The sequence below is a fragment of the Homo sapiens genome, chromosome 1 (genome assembly GCF_000001405.40).
Source record: "Homo sapiens chromosome 1, GRCh38.p14 Primary Assembly".
Classification (NCBI taxonomy): domain Eukaryota; kingdom Metazoa; phylum Chordata; class Mammalia; order Primates; family Hominidae; genus Homo; species Homo sapiens.
In genome coordinates this window covers 45,314,140-45,329,140 of record NC_000001.11, presented here as the reverse complement: position 1 = coordinate 45,329,140, position 15,001 = coordinate 45,314,140, and the positions used below count along the sequence as shown (strand labels likewise).

The window sequence follows — 15,001 nt, the reverse complement described above, 5'->3', positions numbered from 1 at the left end:
CCTAAAGTGCTTGGATTACAGGCATGAGCCACCACGCCCGCCCTTTTGTAGCTATTTTGGACAGCCTTCCACCCTCTCCCTAGCCCCCTCACCCCTTATATCTGAGGGAGGGACCCAGAAAAGTGGTGACGTTCTGCTTGGTTCTGACTTTCTCTGGCTGAACTCCCAGCCAGCCCCGGGCAGATGGGGTTGGAGTGGGGGTGTTCTGTCCAGACTGATCTGCCCTCCAACCCCCAGGAGAAAGGCAAGGCAGCTACAGGGAGAACCTGCCAGTGGCTGACACACAACACCCTCTGTTTACGTCTCAGGTCAGCTCTAATTGGAGTGGTGGCATCACTCTGGAGTAGGTAGTTGGGCTCAACTCTCACCCAGCCCCTCCCCACCTGAGTGGTCGCTCCCTAGGGGGAGAGGAAGCACAGGAGAAGATTTGTTCTGTTTTAAATTCCTACCTCAAATACGAAATAATTTATTTAGGGTTATGTTACATACGGAGTGAAACAATACAGAAAAGCAAAGGGCTAATAATGACAGGATTTGAGGAGTGGGTGGGAGGAAATAGAATCACAGCGGGACACAGGGAGGACTCGAAAGTATTGGTTATGTTCTATTTCCTAGTGTGTAATTCTTTTATTGTTCTTTGTATCTTACATATTTATTATAGACTGTATATAAGAAATGTTTTAGTTTTAAAAAATCCCACCTCTTTGGAGCCCAATGAGAGACACAGCTTCTGGCAGGCACTGATGAAATGGAAGTCACACCTGCCCCCCGGAGGCAAAGCCTTTCACTAGTTGGGCCTCCTGCAGATGTTCCTCAGTTCTGTGCTGGTCTCCCCAGAGCTGCAGGACAGCTGGCTGCACCCAGCCCTGGGCATCCTTAGGCTTCCTGGCTCCTGGCAGATTGCTCCTGTACGGACTGCCACAGAGCTCTGATGTTGCCCTGACCAAAGCCAGTGGCCCCCTGCCTCTGAATCAGCTCCAGGAAGAAAGTGTCCTCAGTAAAAAGGGACTTGGTGAAGACCTGAAGCAGAAACTTGCCTTTATCACCATCTAGCAGGATCCCCTGTCGAGCAAGCAGATGAGGCTCGTGCCCTGCAGCTCGGATCTGCCTCTCCTTTCCTGGCTGCTGGTAGTATGCCCCAGGGGGAGCCAGGAACTGGCCTCCAGCAGTTGCCACCCCCTCAGTGGCCTCCACAATGTTAGGCGTATACAGCCCCACGTGCTGCAGGCCTGGCCCCTTGTGCCGGGCCAGGAACTGCTCCACCTGGTCCTGTCGTGTCGTCGCCCCCGGAAGGGACTCAGCCAGAACAAGAGTGGGGACAATGCTGCCCGGCTGGGCCTGCAGGGCTGTAAGCCTCAGTCCCCCAAGCCCAAACCCTGCTGTCATTTCGAGGCCCAGCTCGGGATCCTCACCTGGGCTCAGCGGCAAGTGGCAAAAGCCCAGGCAGTCGTGGAACCAGCGCAAAAGTGTGGGGGAGCTGCCGGGGGTGCAGGCCAAGGTCAGGTGGTCCACGCGGCTGACCCACCCGGGGCCAGGCGCAGAGGACACGGGCCTGAAGCCGGGTAGGAAGGGTCCGCGGTAGCCAGCGCGCTCCAGCAAGGTCAGGCTGAGGATGCCGGCAGGCGAGCTGACCACGGCGTAAGTGGCGGCACCCTGCGCGTCCCGCACGCGAACGGGAGGGACAGGCACGCTGCAGCCCAGCGCTGCCAGCTCCCGGGTTGCAGCGCCGGCGTCCGCCACGTCGAAGCACAGGTTTGTGGCGCTGGGCACGGCGTGACGCGGATCCAGGCCGTACAGCGGCTCTCCAGACCCTGCGCCCTCGTTCACCAAAAAGACCGCGTCGCCGCTGCGCAGGGCTAGCTGCCGCCAGCCGTCCACCTCCCGCGAAGCCAGGGGCTGGAAGCCGAAGAGGCGCTGCAGGTTCCGGGCTAGGGGCTGCCCGGCGGGCACGTGGAAGGCGATGTGGCACAAACGAAGGGCGGGCGCGGCCATGGCGCTCTGGACGGCGACCTAGACTTGTCCTTCTGGGGCCGCTTACTTGTGGTTGGGGACTTCGGGGCTCTCAGTCCTGGGCTGATCGTCCGGAGTTGGGGAGTCCGGCTCACCCCGCAGAGCGCGTTCCTCGCTTTCTTCCGGAAAGAAGTCACCCGCCGACCCCTGAGAGCTCGCGGTTCTCCCTGCAGCGCCACCCCAGCCAGGAGCAGCGTCTGGACCACCGGGTCTCAGTGAGCCGAGCTGCTGGTTGTGAGAACCACGCGGTGCCTGTGCTCGCGCCAAGCAGGAGAAAGAGGGCGGAGCCCGTGACTCCGCCTTTGACTCCCCACCCCCTCCCCCACACCCTGTCGCCTCGGATACTGCGGGGTCGCCGCGCTGCTCTTTCCCCGGGCCTCACGCCTGGTCACATCCTTGGGCACTGAGCCTCCCTTCCCCAGCCCAGGAACTCACAATGGCTGCCTTCACTCGGCGCCAGGCACTGGGCTCCCACTCATCCCCCCAACCTCACAGCGAAGGGACTCAGCCCGGGTTCAGGGAAAGAGTTGGAATTCTCTCTCCACAAGCACGGAATTTTTTAGCACTTTCATGTTTTTTCTTTAAGTTCTGGAGTTTGCCTCTAAGTCTTAATGTTCCCTGGAATACACACACACACACACACACACACACACACACGTTTATATGTTTTGAGACAGGGTCTCACTCTGTCACCCAGGCTGGAGTGGCACAATCACAGCTCACTGCAGCCTCCACCTCCTGGGTTCAGGCGATTTTCCTTGCCTCAGTGCACAAATAGCTGGGACCACAGGCGGACGCCACCACACCCAGCTAATTAAAAATAATTTTTTTTTTTAGAAATGGGGTCTTGCTATATTGCCCAAGCTGGTTTTAAACCCCTGGGCTCAAGCCATCTTTCCACCTCAGCCTCCCAAAGTGTTGGGCAATCTCTCAACCAGTCCTGTCTCTTTCTTCAATCACCCTTCTGTCAACATCATTTAACCCCTTGTCCCAAGCAAGATTTGGAGGAAAAATCTGACGGTTCGGGATCTGAAAGGAACAGCTGCCTGGCTGTCATTCCCCTTCCCCATCCTTTGAGGACTGGAACACAGGCCCTCCTTGCTCTTTGCAGCTTCCTGACTTGGCATTGAGCCAGAGATTTCTGTGGTGGGGGCACTTCTGGCTCTGAAACCCAGAATTGTGTGAGATGACTGGATTGAGGAATTTGTAGTCTTCTGGAACTTCAACTGAGTGGCCCTTGAAGGGTTAGGGAAGGGCATCCAAGAAGGGCAAAGGGCATAAGCAAAAACTCAGTAAGAGTGTGAGCCAGACTCTTAGAGGAGCAATGGGCCATGCTGTTAGGGAGGCATTTAGGATGAATGCCACAGTCCAAGGCATCACAAGAAATTTTTTTGTCAGGCAGCCTGATCTACTGGGTTTCATTGGCAAGAGGGAGAAGGATGTCATAGGGGACAGGGGCTAGCTGGATGTCATGGTGTTCAGGCCTGCAGGCAGGAGGGCAGTACCCAGGAGCTGGTCAGGGTGGTAAAAGGTACTTGGTGCTACTCTGCAGACCAGTGAATGTGAGGACATGAGTTCCAAAAGCCAGACGGACCTGGGTTTGAATCACCAGCAACACTTACTGTCTGTATGGGCAAGTTGCTTAACGCCTCTGAGCCTTAATTTGCCCATCTGTAAAAATGGAAATAATAGTACCTACTTCAAAGAGTTGTGATTAAGTGAGGTGGAGTAAGTGTTCAGTAAATAGTAGCTGTTGCTATTGTAGTTACTGTTTTTTTTTTTAATTAATTTTATTTTCCCACATATTCTAATATTTATTTATTTTAAAAAGTTTTTCAGAGCTGGGCACAGTGGCTCACACCTGTAATCTCAGCACTTTGGGAGGCTGAGGCAGGCGGATCACCTGAGGTCAGGAGTTCAAGACCACCCTGGCCAACATGGTGAAACCCCATCTCTACTAAAAATACAAAAAATTAGATGTAATCCCAGCTACTCGGGAGGCTGAGGCAGGAGAATCACTTGAACCCAGGAGGCGGAGGTTGCAGTGAGCCAAGATCATGCCATTGCACTGTAGCCTGGGCAACAAGAGAGAAACTCTGTCTCAAAAAAAAAAAAAAAGAAAAGAAAAAAGTTTTTTTAGAGATGAGGTCTTACTCTGTCACCTAGGCTGGAGTGTAGTGGCATGATCACAGCTCACTGCAGGCTCCAACTCCTGGGCTTAAGCAATCCTTCCACCTCAGTCTCCCAAGTAGCTTGGGACTACAGGTGCACACCACCATGCCTGGCTATTTAGTTATTGTTTTATTTTATCTCATGATACAATGCCAGTGGTACCTCCCAGAAGGTGTTGTGTGGCCTACTAGAGAGATGGGGACAGGGGCTTCACTGGCATGGGCCAAAGGCTAGGCAGCCTACTCAATGAGCAGCTCACCCCAAGGAATCCTGGGTAGTAAGAAAGGAAAGTAAATCTTGGGGGCCCCAAATCACTAAGCTAAAAGGAAAAGTCAAGCTGGGAACTGCTTAGGGCCAATCTGCCTCCCATTCCGTTCAAAGTCACAGTAAGAGTTAAAGAAAGAGGAAAGAAACACAAAAAGCAGCTCAAAAATCAAACCTGAGAGGGGCTTCTGGCTGATTTCAGTCAGGAGTGCTCTCTCTTACAGACTATTTATTTATTTATTTATTTATTTATTTAGAGATGGATTCTCACTCTGTCACCAGGCTGGAGTGCAGTGGCGAGATCTCAGCTCACTGCAACCTCCGCCTCCCGGGTTCAATCGATTCTCCTGCTAGCCTCCCAAGTAGCTGGGACTTACAGGCACGCACCACCATACCCAGCTAATTTTTGTATTTTTTTTAGTAGAGACGGGTTTCACCATATTGGCCAGGATGGTCTCAATCTTTTGACCTCATGATCCGCCTGCCTCCACCTCCCAAAGTGCTGGGATTACAGGCGTGAGCCACCGCGTCTGGCCCAGACTAACAGTATTTATTGGAGAGAGCTTGGAATGTTTCTGTGTCAGGGAGAAGTTTATGGTGGAGTTGGAATGTCTCTGGTTGGAGGGGAGGTTATCTTGAGGCTGACACCTCTCCAGCCGAAGGGGAGGTTATCTTGGGGCTGGCATGTCTCTGGCTGGGGAGGGGCTTGGAACGTTTCTGGTCAGAGATGTCATTTGTGGTTTATGGTCATGCTGACCTTAGCCATTAGGCTGATGCCCTTTGGATTTAGGCAGTTTTTGATCAAGGCAAAACTTAAAATGGCAGTGCTTGTCCAAGATGGCAGTGCTCCTGCTCCGTCAGTCCAGACTCTATAGTGATAAAAAGGACGGGGGCAGCCAGGTGCAGTGGCTCACACCTGTAATCCCAGCACTTTGGGAGGCCAAGGCGAGTGGATAGCTTGAGGTCAAGTATTCAAGACCAGCCTGACCAACACGGTGAAACCCCATCTCTGCTAAAAAAAATACAAAATTAGGCCAGGCGCGGTGGCTCACGCCTGTAATCCCAGCACTTTGGGAGGCCGAGGCGGGTGGATCACGAGGTCAGGAGATCGAGACCATCCTGGCTAACACGGTGAAACCCCGTCTCTACTAAAAATACAAAAAATTAGCTGGGCGTGGTGGCGGGCACCTGTAGTCCCAGCTACTCGGGAGGCTGAGGCAGGAGAATGGCGTGAACCCAGGAGGCGGAGCTTGCAGTGAGCCGAGACTGAGCCACTGCACACCAGCCTGGGCGACAGGGCGAGACTCCGTCTCAGAAAAAGAAAAATTAGCCAGGCATGGTGGTGCACGCCTGTAATGCCAGCAAGCTGAGAGGCTGAGGCAGGAGAATTGCTTGAACCCAGGAGGCGGAGGTTGCAGTGAGCCGAGATCGCACCATTGCACTCTAGCCTGGGCAACAAGAGCGAAGCTCCATCTCAAAAAAAGAAAAAAAAAAAAAAGGGCCGGGTACGGTGGTTCATGCCTGTAATCCCAGCACTTTGGGAGGTTGAGGTGGGTGGATCATCTGAGGTCAGGAGTTTGAGACCAGCCTGGCCAGCACAGTGGAAACCCCGTCTCTACTAAAATACAGAAATTAGCCAGGTGTGGTGGGCGCATGCCTGTAATCCCAGCTACTTGGAAGGCTGAGACATGAGAATCACTTGAACCCAGTAGGCGCAGGTTGTAGTGAGCAGAGATCATGCTACTGCACTCTAGCCTGGGTGACAGAGTTAGACTCTGTCCCCCCCAAAAAAAAAAAAAAAAAAAAGAGGGGCGGCATGTTCTTTCTGGCTACTTCCTTTTGACGGGGATGGAGAGTTTTCTGGTTTCGGATTGACTATAGGAGTAATGCCATCTGTAGATGTTTTGGGGTAGTTGTCTGTGAAATGGCCATGATCCTGTCAGTTAAAAATCCTTGAAAAAAGTTTATTAGGCAGGGTAAGAACATTAGTCCTGGGCATATTATTAGGAGATGGCCCAGGAATGGGGATGACTCATGCTACGATTTTGTTCCCAAACCAAGAATCCATTTGGTTGTTTTGGTATTCCCTTAGCTTTTTAGTTCTTTCTTGCCGAGACCAGCTCGGTCGGGGAGACCCTAACCCAGCGGCGCTAGAGGAATTAAAGACACACACACAGAAATATAGAGGTGTGAAGTGGGAAATCAGGGGTCTCACAGTCTTCAGAGCTGAGAGCCCCGAACAGAGATTTACCCACATATTTATTAACAGCAAACCAGTCATTAGCATTGTTTCTATAGATACTAAATTAACTAAAAGTATCCCTTATGGGAAATGAAGGGATGGGCCGAATTAAAGGAATAGGTTGGGCTGGTTAACTGTAGTAGTTAACTGTAGCAGGATCTTCTGCTTAGTTTCTCAATTCATCCAAACCGTATCCAGGCCATCACCAATCATTCTATACGACAAATGCTCCTTCTAACAACCCCACAATATCACCCCTTACCACAAAATCTTCCTTCAGCTTAATCTCTCCGACTCTAGGTTCCCATGCCACCCCAATCCCGCTCGAAACAGCCCTGAAAAACATCGCCCATTATCTCTCCATACCACCTCCCAAAATTTTCACCACCCCAACACTTCAACACTATTTTGTTTTATTTTTCTTATTACTATAAGAAGACAGGAATGTCAGGCCTCTGAGCCCAAGCCTGCACGTATTCATCCAGATGGCCTGAAGTAACTGAAGAATCACAAAATAAGTGAAAATGGCTGGTTCCTGCCTTAACTGATGACATTACCTTGTGAAATTCCTTCTCCTGGCTCATCCCGGCTCAAAAGCTCCCCCACTGAGCACCTTGTGACCCCCACCCCTGCCAGCCAGAGAACAACCCCCTTTGACTGTAATTTTCCACTACCAACCCAAATCCTATAAAATGGCCCCACCCCTATCTCTCTTCGCTGACTCTCTTTTCAGGCTCAGCCCACCTGCACCCAGGTGATTAAAAAGCTTTATTGCTTATACAAAGCCTGTTTGGTGATGTCTTCACACATACGCGCGTGAAAGATCTGACTTGATCAAATCCAAAGGAAAGTTCCAAATTTTGTGGAACAAAGCCTCTCAAATGGTTGAATTAAAAAAAAAAAAGAAAGGCGGTGTGGTGAGGGAGAAAAACAGCCAGCAAAAGGGAGAAAAGAGGACAGATTTTGGATTTTGACTACTTTAGCCCCTTTAGGGGCTTTATTTACATAACGAGGCCACCTTTTTGCTAGTCAGGCGAAACTGAAAGAGCAATGGCTGTGCTTCTGAAACAGCGGCAATTTGTCCCAGCTCAAAAATGGTAATGAAATTTAAAAACATTTTTTTAAAGGAGCTCAATGGTTAAAGTCAGCTTAATTAAAAGCTAACATCCAAGATGTGTGTGTGTACGTGTGCATATGTGTGTTTGTATTCAAAGGCCGTCATTTATTTTTTCTGTCCTAGGACGTTGTCCTTTATTTTTGAGGAAAAGTTTTTTCTTCTTAGTTGACTGAATTCTGTTTTCTTCATTCACTTCTCCTGTCTCTCCTTTCTCTTGTACCCTCTGCTGCATGAGGGACCTAAAATAGTTTACAATCACCTGGGGTTCCTTTAAGAAAACGGAGAAGTTGCCAGACTCCCTTTTGGGGAGAAACTTGTTATTCCTTATAGAACCCCAAAAGTGTAAACAGACAAGTTCATCTCAGCCTTTAAGCTGCTTGCTTTTGTATTGTGTTACCGGATATATTGACTATAATAATTATTGCAACACAGGGTACTCTGGGTTTTTAAAGAAGGGTGTAGTTTAGACACTTAGAAATATCTTTGTTTTAAAAAAAAATTTTTTTTAAGTGCACTGTAAAAACATCAGATAGTCTAGCCTCAGAATAATTCTCCCGGTTTGGAAACCCAGGATTCAGTGTGGGCCCTGCCCAGAGCTCAGAGAGCTAGTTAAAAGACAGGTAGTCTGGCCAGGTGTGGTGGCTCACACCTGTAATCCCAGTACTTTGGGAGGCCGAGGCGGGTGGATCACCTGAGGTCAGGAACTCGTGACCAGCCTGACTAACATGGTGTAAACCCCATCTCTACTTAATACAAAAAAATCAGCCAGGCATGGTGGTGCATGCCTGTAATCTGAGCTACTTGGACTGAGACAGGAGAATCACTTGTACCTGGGAGGTAGAGGTTGCAATGGGGATTGATGATGCAACTGGGTAGAGGGGGAGGTTCGATTTTTATGGTGTATGAGAAAGCGCATAGTGTCTATGAATAACCTTTCACTGCTATTCATGGGGCCAGGTATAAGCAAGCAAGAGGACAGCTAGGAGGAGAGTCCGAAGAACAAGGGGAAGGTAGCCAAGGATGGAGTGAAATGCAGGGCAAATGTCTTAAAGGAAATGAGAGGTTCTAAGAGGCGAGCTCGTGGCTTGTAACCCACATGGAAGAGGTTAAAAAGGACGATAGAATGGAATGAGCCTGTGAGGCTGGAAGGAGGTATTTTCCTTGGTCTAAGAACCATTTGCCTTGAGTAGGGAGGGATTGATATGTGGAAACTTCAGTGGGAGAGTAAGTAGGAGTGACTGATGAGGAGAAAAACTGGCCATGAGGGACAGAAGTAGGAATACAGGCTGCTTCTTTAGCTGTCTTATCAGCATAATTGTTGCCTTGAGCAATGGGGTCTGAGGCCCTTTGATGGCCTTTTCAGTGAATGACTCCAGCTTCCTTTGGAAATAAAGCGGCCTTGAGAAGAGGAAATCTCTTTCAGCCCATGTAACAGCATGGTGGTGCAGTATGGAAGGCATATTTAAAGTCAGTATAAATATTAGCATGCAGTCCTTTTGCAAGAATGAGGGCTCGAGTTAAGGAAATGAGTTCGGCTTGTTGAGAGGTAGTGGAGTGGGGCAGAGCGGTAGCCTCAATGATAGATGTGGAAGATACTATAGCATAGCCTGCCTTTCCTGGTGAGTGGCAATTAGGCCTGGTGGAACTGCCATCAATAAACCAAGTGTGATCAGAGTGAGGAACAGGAAAGAAGGAAATATGGGGAAATGGAGTGAATGCCAAGTGGATTAGACAGACACAGTCACGGGGGTCAGGTGTGGTATCAGAAATAATGTGGGGGCCAGCCTAAAACAGTAAGGTCAAGTTGTTTGAACAGAAAGGCTACAGGGTGGGGTCCTGGCCCTTGTGTAAGAATTCTGACCGCACAGCCCTGCACTTCGGCTACGTGTAATGAAAAAGGGTTGGGATGAGTTAGGGAAAGCTAGTGTGGGAGCAGCTTCTAGGGCTGTTTTTAAGGAATGGAAAGAGGAGTGGGGGAAAGGATTTAGGATGGGGTCAGCTAGGTTTGCTTTTGTGAGTTTATATAATGGTTTAGTCAGGATAGCAAAACCAGGTATCCAAAGGTGAAAGTACGTAACCATGCCTAGGAAGGAAAGGAGTTTTTGCTTTGTAGAAGGGGTTGGGGTTTGGAAGATTAGCTGGACACGATCAGCAGGGAGAGCACATGTGTTTTTATGAGAATTATGCTGAGATAGGCAATGGATGAGGAAGAAATTTGGGCTTTAGAGGGGATATGCGATATCCTTTTGAGAATAGATGTTGGAGGAGCAGGAGGGTGTCCTGTTGGGAAGATTTGTAGGGGGAGCTATAAAGTAGAAGGTCATCAAAGTATTGAATAAGGTGAGAACCAGATGGATGGAAAGAAAGTAAATCATGAGAAAGGGCTTGACTGAAGTAATGGGGGCTGTCCCTGAAGCCTTGTGGCAGTACAGCCCAGGTAAGTTGCTGAGGCTGATGGGTGTCAGGGTCAGTCCAAGTGAAAGCAAAGAGAGGCTGGGATGAAGGGTGCAAAGGAATAGTAAAGAAAGCATCTTGGAGATCCAGAACAGAATAATGGGTTGTGGAGGGAGGTATTGAGGATAGGAGAGTATATGAGTTTGGCACTATAGGATGGATGGGAAGGACGATTTGATTAATAAGGTGAAGATCCTGAACCAACCTGTAAGACTTGTCCGGTTTTTGTACAGGTAGGATAGGAGAGTTGTAAGGAGAGTTTGTAGGCTTTAAAAGGCCATGCTGTAACAGGTGAGTGATAACAGGCTTTAGTCACCTCAAATCCTGTTGTGGGATGGGATACTGGCATTGAGTGGGGTAAGGGTGATTAGGTTTTAATGGGATAGTAAGGGGTGAGGCTTTGAACTGGGGAAAAGAGAGGCAATGAGATGTGGCTGTAGCCCAGGAATAGTCAGGGAAGCAGCTAATTTAGTTAAAATGTCTCGACCTAATAAGGGAGTTGGGCAGGTGGGATAACTAAAAAGAAGTGCATAAAAGAATGTTGTCCAAGTTAGCACCAGAGTTGGGGAGTTTTAAGAGTTTTAGAAGCCTGGCCATCAATACCCACAACAGTTATGGAGGCAAGGGAAACAGGCCCTTGAAAAGAAGGTAATGTGGAGTGGGTAGCCTCTGTATTGATTAAGAAGGGGACGGACTTACCCACCACTGTAAGAGTTACCCAAAGGGTCTGTGATGGTCCTGGAGGTTTCTGAGGCGCTCGGGCAGTGTCAATCTTCAGCCACTAAGCCGAGGAGATCTGGGAAGGAGTCAGCCAAGGAATGTTGGGTTTGATCTCCAGGAGCTTTAGGAGTGGCAGCGATGTGAGCTGGACAGTCTGACTTCCAGTGGGGGTTCACACAGACAGGGCACGGCTTAGGAGGAATCCCAGGTAGTGGGCATTCCAAGGCTCAGTGGCCAGATTTCCAGCACTTGAAGCAAGATCCTGGGGAAGAAAGTCCTGGAGGAACATCTGGCTGCTGTGGTTTATGCGTTTTGAAGTTCTTGTGCGCTGGAGATGTGGCTGGGGTTTCTCTCACAGCAGAGGCAAGTAATTGCAACTCAGAAATACGGTGCCTCTTGGCTGTGTCTTCTCTATTATTGTACACCTTGAAGGCAAGGTTAATTAAGTCTTGTTGTGGGTTTTGAGGGCTGTAATCTAATTTTTGGAGCTTTTTTTAAATGTTGGGAGTGGATTGGGTAATAAAATGTATATTGAGAATAAGACGGCCTTCTGGCCCCTTGGGGTCTAGGGCAGTAAAGCGTCTAAGGGTTGTTGCCAAATGGGCCATGAACTGGGCTGGGTTTTTATATTTGATGAAAAAAAGCCTAAATGCTAATTGATTTGGGAGAGGTTGGCTAAAGAAAAAGGAGCATTAACCTTGACTATACCTACAGCTCCAGCCACCTCTCTAAGAGGAAATTGTTGGGCAGGTGGGGGAGGGTTAGTCACGGATAAGCGGACTGGATGTGAGGATGGGAGGTGCTAGAAGGATTATAGAGTGGGGGAGTGGAGGCTGGGAAGAATTGGGACCTGGCTCGGCCTGGCAAAGAGCAGCCTGGGGAGGAAGGGAGAGGTCAGATGTGTTCGTAGAAAAGGAGGATTCAAAGGACTCAGAGCTTGGGGTGGAGACTGAAGGAAAAGACAGGAGAGAAAGAAGGAAGATTTGGGGCAAGTCACATTAGGAGCAGAGACTAGGGTGGGACCAATATGTAGAAGAATGTCTGGACGTCAGGCACCTCAGACCATTTGTCCATTTTTTGACAAAAATCATCCAAGTCTTGCAAGATGGAGAAATCAAAAGTGCCATTTTCTGGCCATTTGGAACCATTGTTGAGTTTGTATTGGGGTCAAGCAGTATTGCAGAAGAAAATAAGACGTTTAGGTTTTAAGTCAGGTGTTAGTCGAAGGGGTTTTAGGTTTTTAAGAACACAGGCTAAGGGAGATGAAGGGGGAAAGGAGGGTGGAAGATTGCCCATAGTGAAGGAGGCAAGCCCAGAGAAAAGAGAGGGTAGAGACACGGCAGTGAGGTGGTCCTTGCCACCCAGGGGAGGTGGTACTTGCCACTCAGGGGAGGTGGTACTTGCCACCAAGATGAAGGATCAAGGCAGGTGTCCCCACAGTGATCAGACACCTCTGAAATGTGGATGAATAATCAGGCAGGCGTCCCTGCAGTGATTAAACACCAAGGGAAGACTTTCCTGAGTCCGTGACTGGCGCCGGAGTTTTGGGTCCGTGGATAAAATGTGTCCCCTTTGTCTCTACTGGAGAGGAAAAAGAACTGGAATTGGAAGGACAGGGAGATTGGAGGGTAATGAGAGAGGCTGGAGAAGAGAGTGAAAAGACTGCTTACCTGATTTGAAATTGGTGAGATGTTCCTTGGGCTGGTTGGTCTGAGGACCTGAGGTTATAGGGGAATTTCCTCATGGAGTGAGGGCGAGGACAGGGGACTGGTCTCCCAAAGGATTCCTCCTGTCCCAGGTCTTCGGCACCAAATGTCACATGCGTCTGTGTGAAGAGATCACCGAACAGGCTTTGTATGAGCAATAAAGCTTCTTAATCACCCGGGTGCAGGAGGACTGAGCCTAAAAAAGAAGTCAGCAAAGAGAGTTAGGGGTGGGGCAGTTTTATAGGATTTGGGTAGGTAGTGGAAAATTACAGCCAAAGCGGGTTGTTCTCTGGTGGGCAGGGGCAGGGGTCACAAGGTGCTCGGTGGGGGAGCTTCTGAGATTCATTGTCCAGGAGAAGGAATTTCACAAGGTAATGTCATCAGTTAAGGCAGGAACCGACCATTTTCACTTCTTTTGTGGTTCTTCGTTGCCTCAGGCCATCTGGATGTATACACGCAGGCTTGGGCTCAGAGACCTGACACCGAGTAGCTAGGATTACAGGCGTGCACCACCATGCCTAGCTAATTTTTGTATTTTTAGTAGAGATGGGGTTTCACTATGTTGGCCAGGCTGGTCTCAAACTCCTGACCTCAAGTGATCCGCCCGCCTTAGCCTCTCAAAGTGCTGGGACTACAGGTGTGAACCACTGCACCTGGTGATTTTTGTAATTTTATGTTTGATTTGGCATCCATCTTTTATTTATTTATTTATTTTTTTGAGATGGAGTTTTGCTCCTATTGCCCAGGCTGGAGTGCCATGGCATGATTTCAGCTCACCACAACCTTTGCCTCCCAGGTTCAAGTGATTCTCCTGCCTCAGCCTCCTGAGTAGCTGGGATTATAGGCATGTGACACCACGCCCGACTAATTTTGTATTTTTAGTAAAGACAGGGTTTCTCCATGTTGGTCAGGCTGGTCTCAAACTCCCAACCTCAGGTGAGCTGGCCTCCCAAAGTGCTGGGATTAAAGGCATGAGCCACCTCACCTGGCCAGCATCCATCTTTAATTTCCCCTATCAAACCAGACTTTTTATCTCTGTAACTTATGATATAAATTGTTATTTGATTTTCACTCGACTTGTTTCCTTTAATCTGCAAATTTGAGGCTATTTAGCTGACAATTGCCTAGGGTTATGAAACAACTTATCAAGAATCTGAAAGTCTAAGAATCTATAAGATGTACATCTATCGGGATGCGTAATATGTGTATGTATTTATGTGTTGTGTATACAATGGTTCACTACTAAAAATACATAAAAGAGCTCTAATTAATTGGCTAAAAAGAAAGCACTTAAATCAGATACCAAAGAAAAACGAGTAGACAAAAGCTTTTCCAAGTTCACGTGACTTAAGTAAAATAATAAATAAACTGGGGTGGGTGCCCCTGTAATCCCAGTACTTCGGGAGGCCAAGGCAGGAGAATCGCTTGAACCCGGGAGGCAGAGATTGCAGTGAGCTGAGATCACACCACTCTACTCCAGCCTGGGTGACAGAGCAAGACTCCATCTCAAAAATAAAATAAAATAAAATAAATAAGCTGGAGTTAATAGTTGCAGGTAGTGGTAGTCATGGACGCTCTGGATTGAGTTGTAAATCCCAAAACGAAAAGAGCCAAGAGATTCCTTGAGGAGAGAGAACCAAAACTCAAAGAAAACATTTAAAACTAATTCATACTTGTCCCTGCCAAATACTATACGGCATCAATATTTGGCATAAGGGTTACAAAACTATGAACCCAGCCCAAGACAGAATGATCTTTGCTTTTATAATCTTTAGTAAATAAACCATTGATATTTGTTTAATGAAAACAGCTAAATCTTGAATTTAGTAAGGAAGTTTGCTTTGGGAAAGGACTTTTACCATTTTTGTTTCAAAGCTAACCTATAAACTACGTTCCTCCCAAAGTTAGTTCAGCCTACGCCCAGGAATGAACAAAGACAGCTTGAAGGTGAGAAGCAAGATGGACTCAGGGCAGATCTTTTTCACTATCTCAGCTGTAATTTTGGAATGGCAGTTTCATGACTTTAAATGATGACTATCACAATTTTCATAAATAGTCTAGGTAAACAATTAAAGTAGGTAAATGAAATGCAATAAATACTTGCAGACAAACGTCATAATTTAGAATCCATAGTTATATTAAATAATAGATATTTCATTATTTGGGTATTTTCAAATAAAATATATATTGTAGGAAAACATTCTTGCTAAAAAAAAGTGAATTCACCTTTAAAAAAGGTGAATCATTTTTGTCTACTTCAAAGATTATTTATGTATGAAACAAGATAGGAAGTTATAAAAACAAAGAGGTTTGGCC

The 15,001-nt window shown here is 48.0% G+C and overlaps 1 protein-coding gene across 1 annotated transcript, besides 4 other annotated features; it reads right to left on the bottom strand.

Annotated features, from left to right (window-relative positions):
* On the bottom strand, nt 431-2,246 carry HPDL (4-hydroxyphenylpyruvate dioxygenase like). The gene has a single exon (NM_032756.4). It carries the CDS (start codon nt 1,990-1,992, stop codon nt 877-879), a length of 1,116 nt encoding a protein of 371 aa, NP_116145.1. The 5' UTR covers nt 1,993-2,246; the 3' UTR covers nt 431-876.
* Nucleotides 1,035-1,144: an enhancer, noted in NCBI's record as "active region_965". NCBI's record gives its function as "activates an Ori minimal core promoter by ATAC-STARR-seq in GM12878 lymphoblastoid cells {active_cell/tissue: GM12878}" and the evidence as "EXISTENCE:reporter gene assay evidence [ECO:0000049][PMID:35858748]".
* Nucleotides 1,905-2,154: an enhancer, noted in NCBI's record as "active region_964". NCBI's record gives its function as "activates an Ori minimal core promoter by ATAC-STARR-seq in GM12878 lymphoblastoid cells {active_cell/tissue: GM12878}" and the evidence as "EXISTENCE:reporter gene assay evidence [ECO:0000049][PMID:35858748]".
* Nucleotides 2,165-2,214: an enhancer, noted in NCBI's record as "active region_963". NCBI's record gives its function as "activates an Ori minimal core promoter by ATAC-STARR-seq in GM12878 lymphoblastoid cells {active_cell/tissue: GM12878}" and the evidence as "EXISTENCE:reporter gene assay evidence [ECO:0000049][PMID:35858748]".
* Nucleotides 4,950-5,244: a silencer, noted in NCBI's record as "tiled region #12838; HepG2 Repressive non-DNase unmatched - State 23:Low, and K562 Repressive DNase matched - State 8:EnhW". NCBI's record gives its function as "represses a minimal TATA promoter and a strong SV40 promoter by Sharpr-MPRA in HepG2 and K562 cells {active_cell/tissue: HepG2 | K562}" and the evidence as "EXISTENCE:reporter gene assay evidence [ECO:0000049][PMID:27701403]".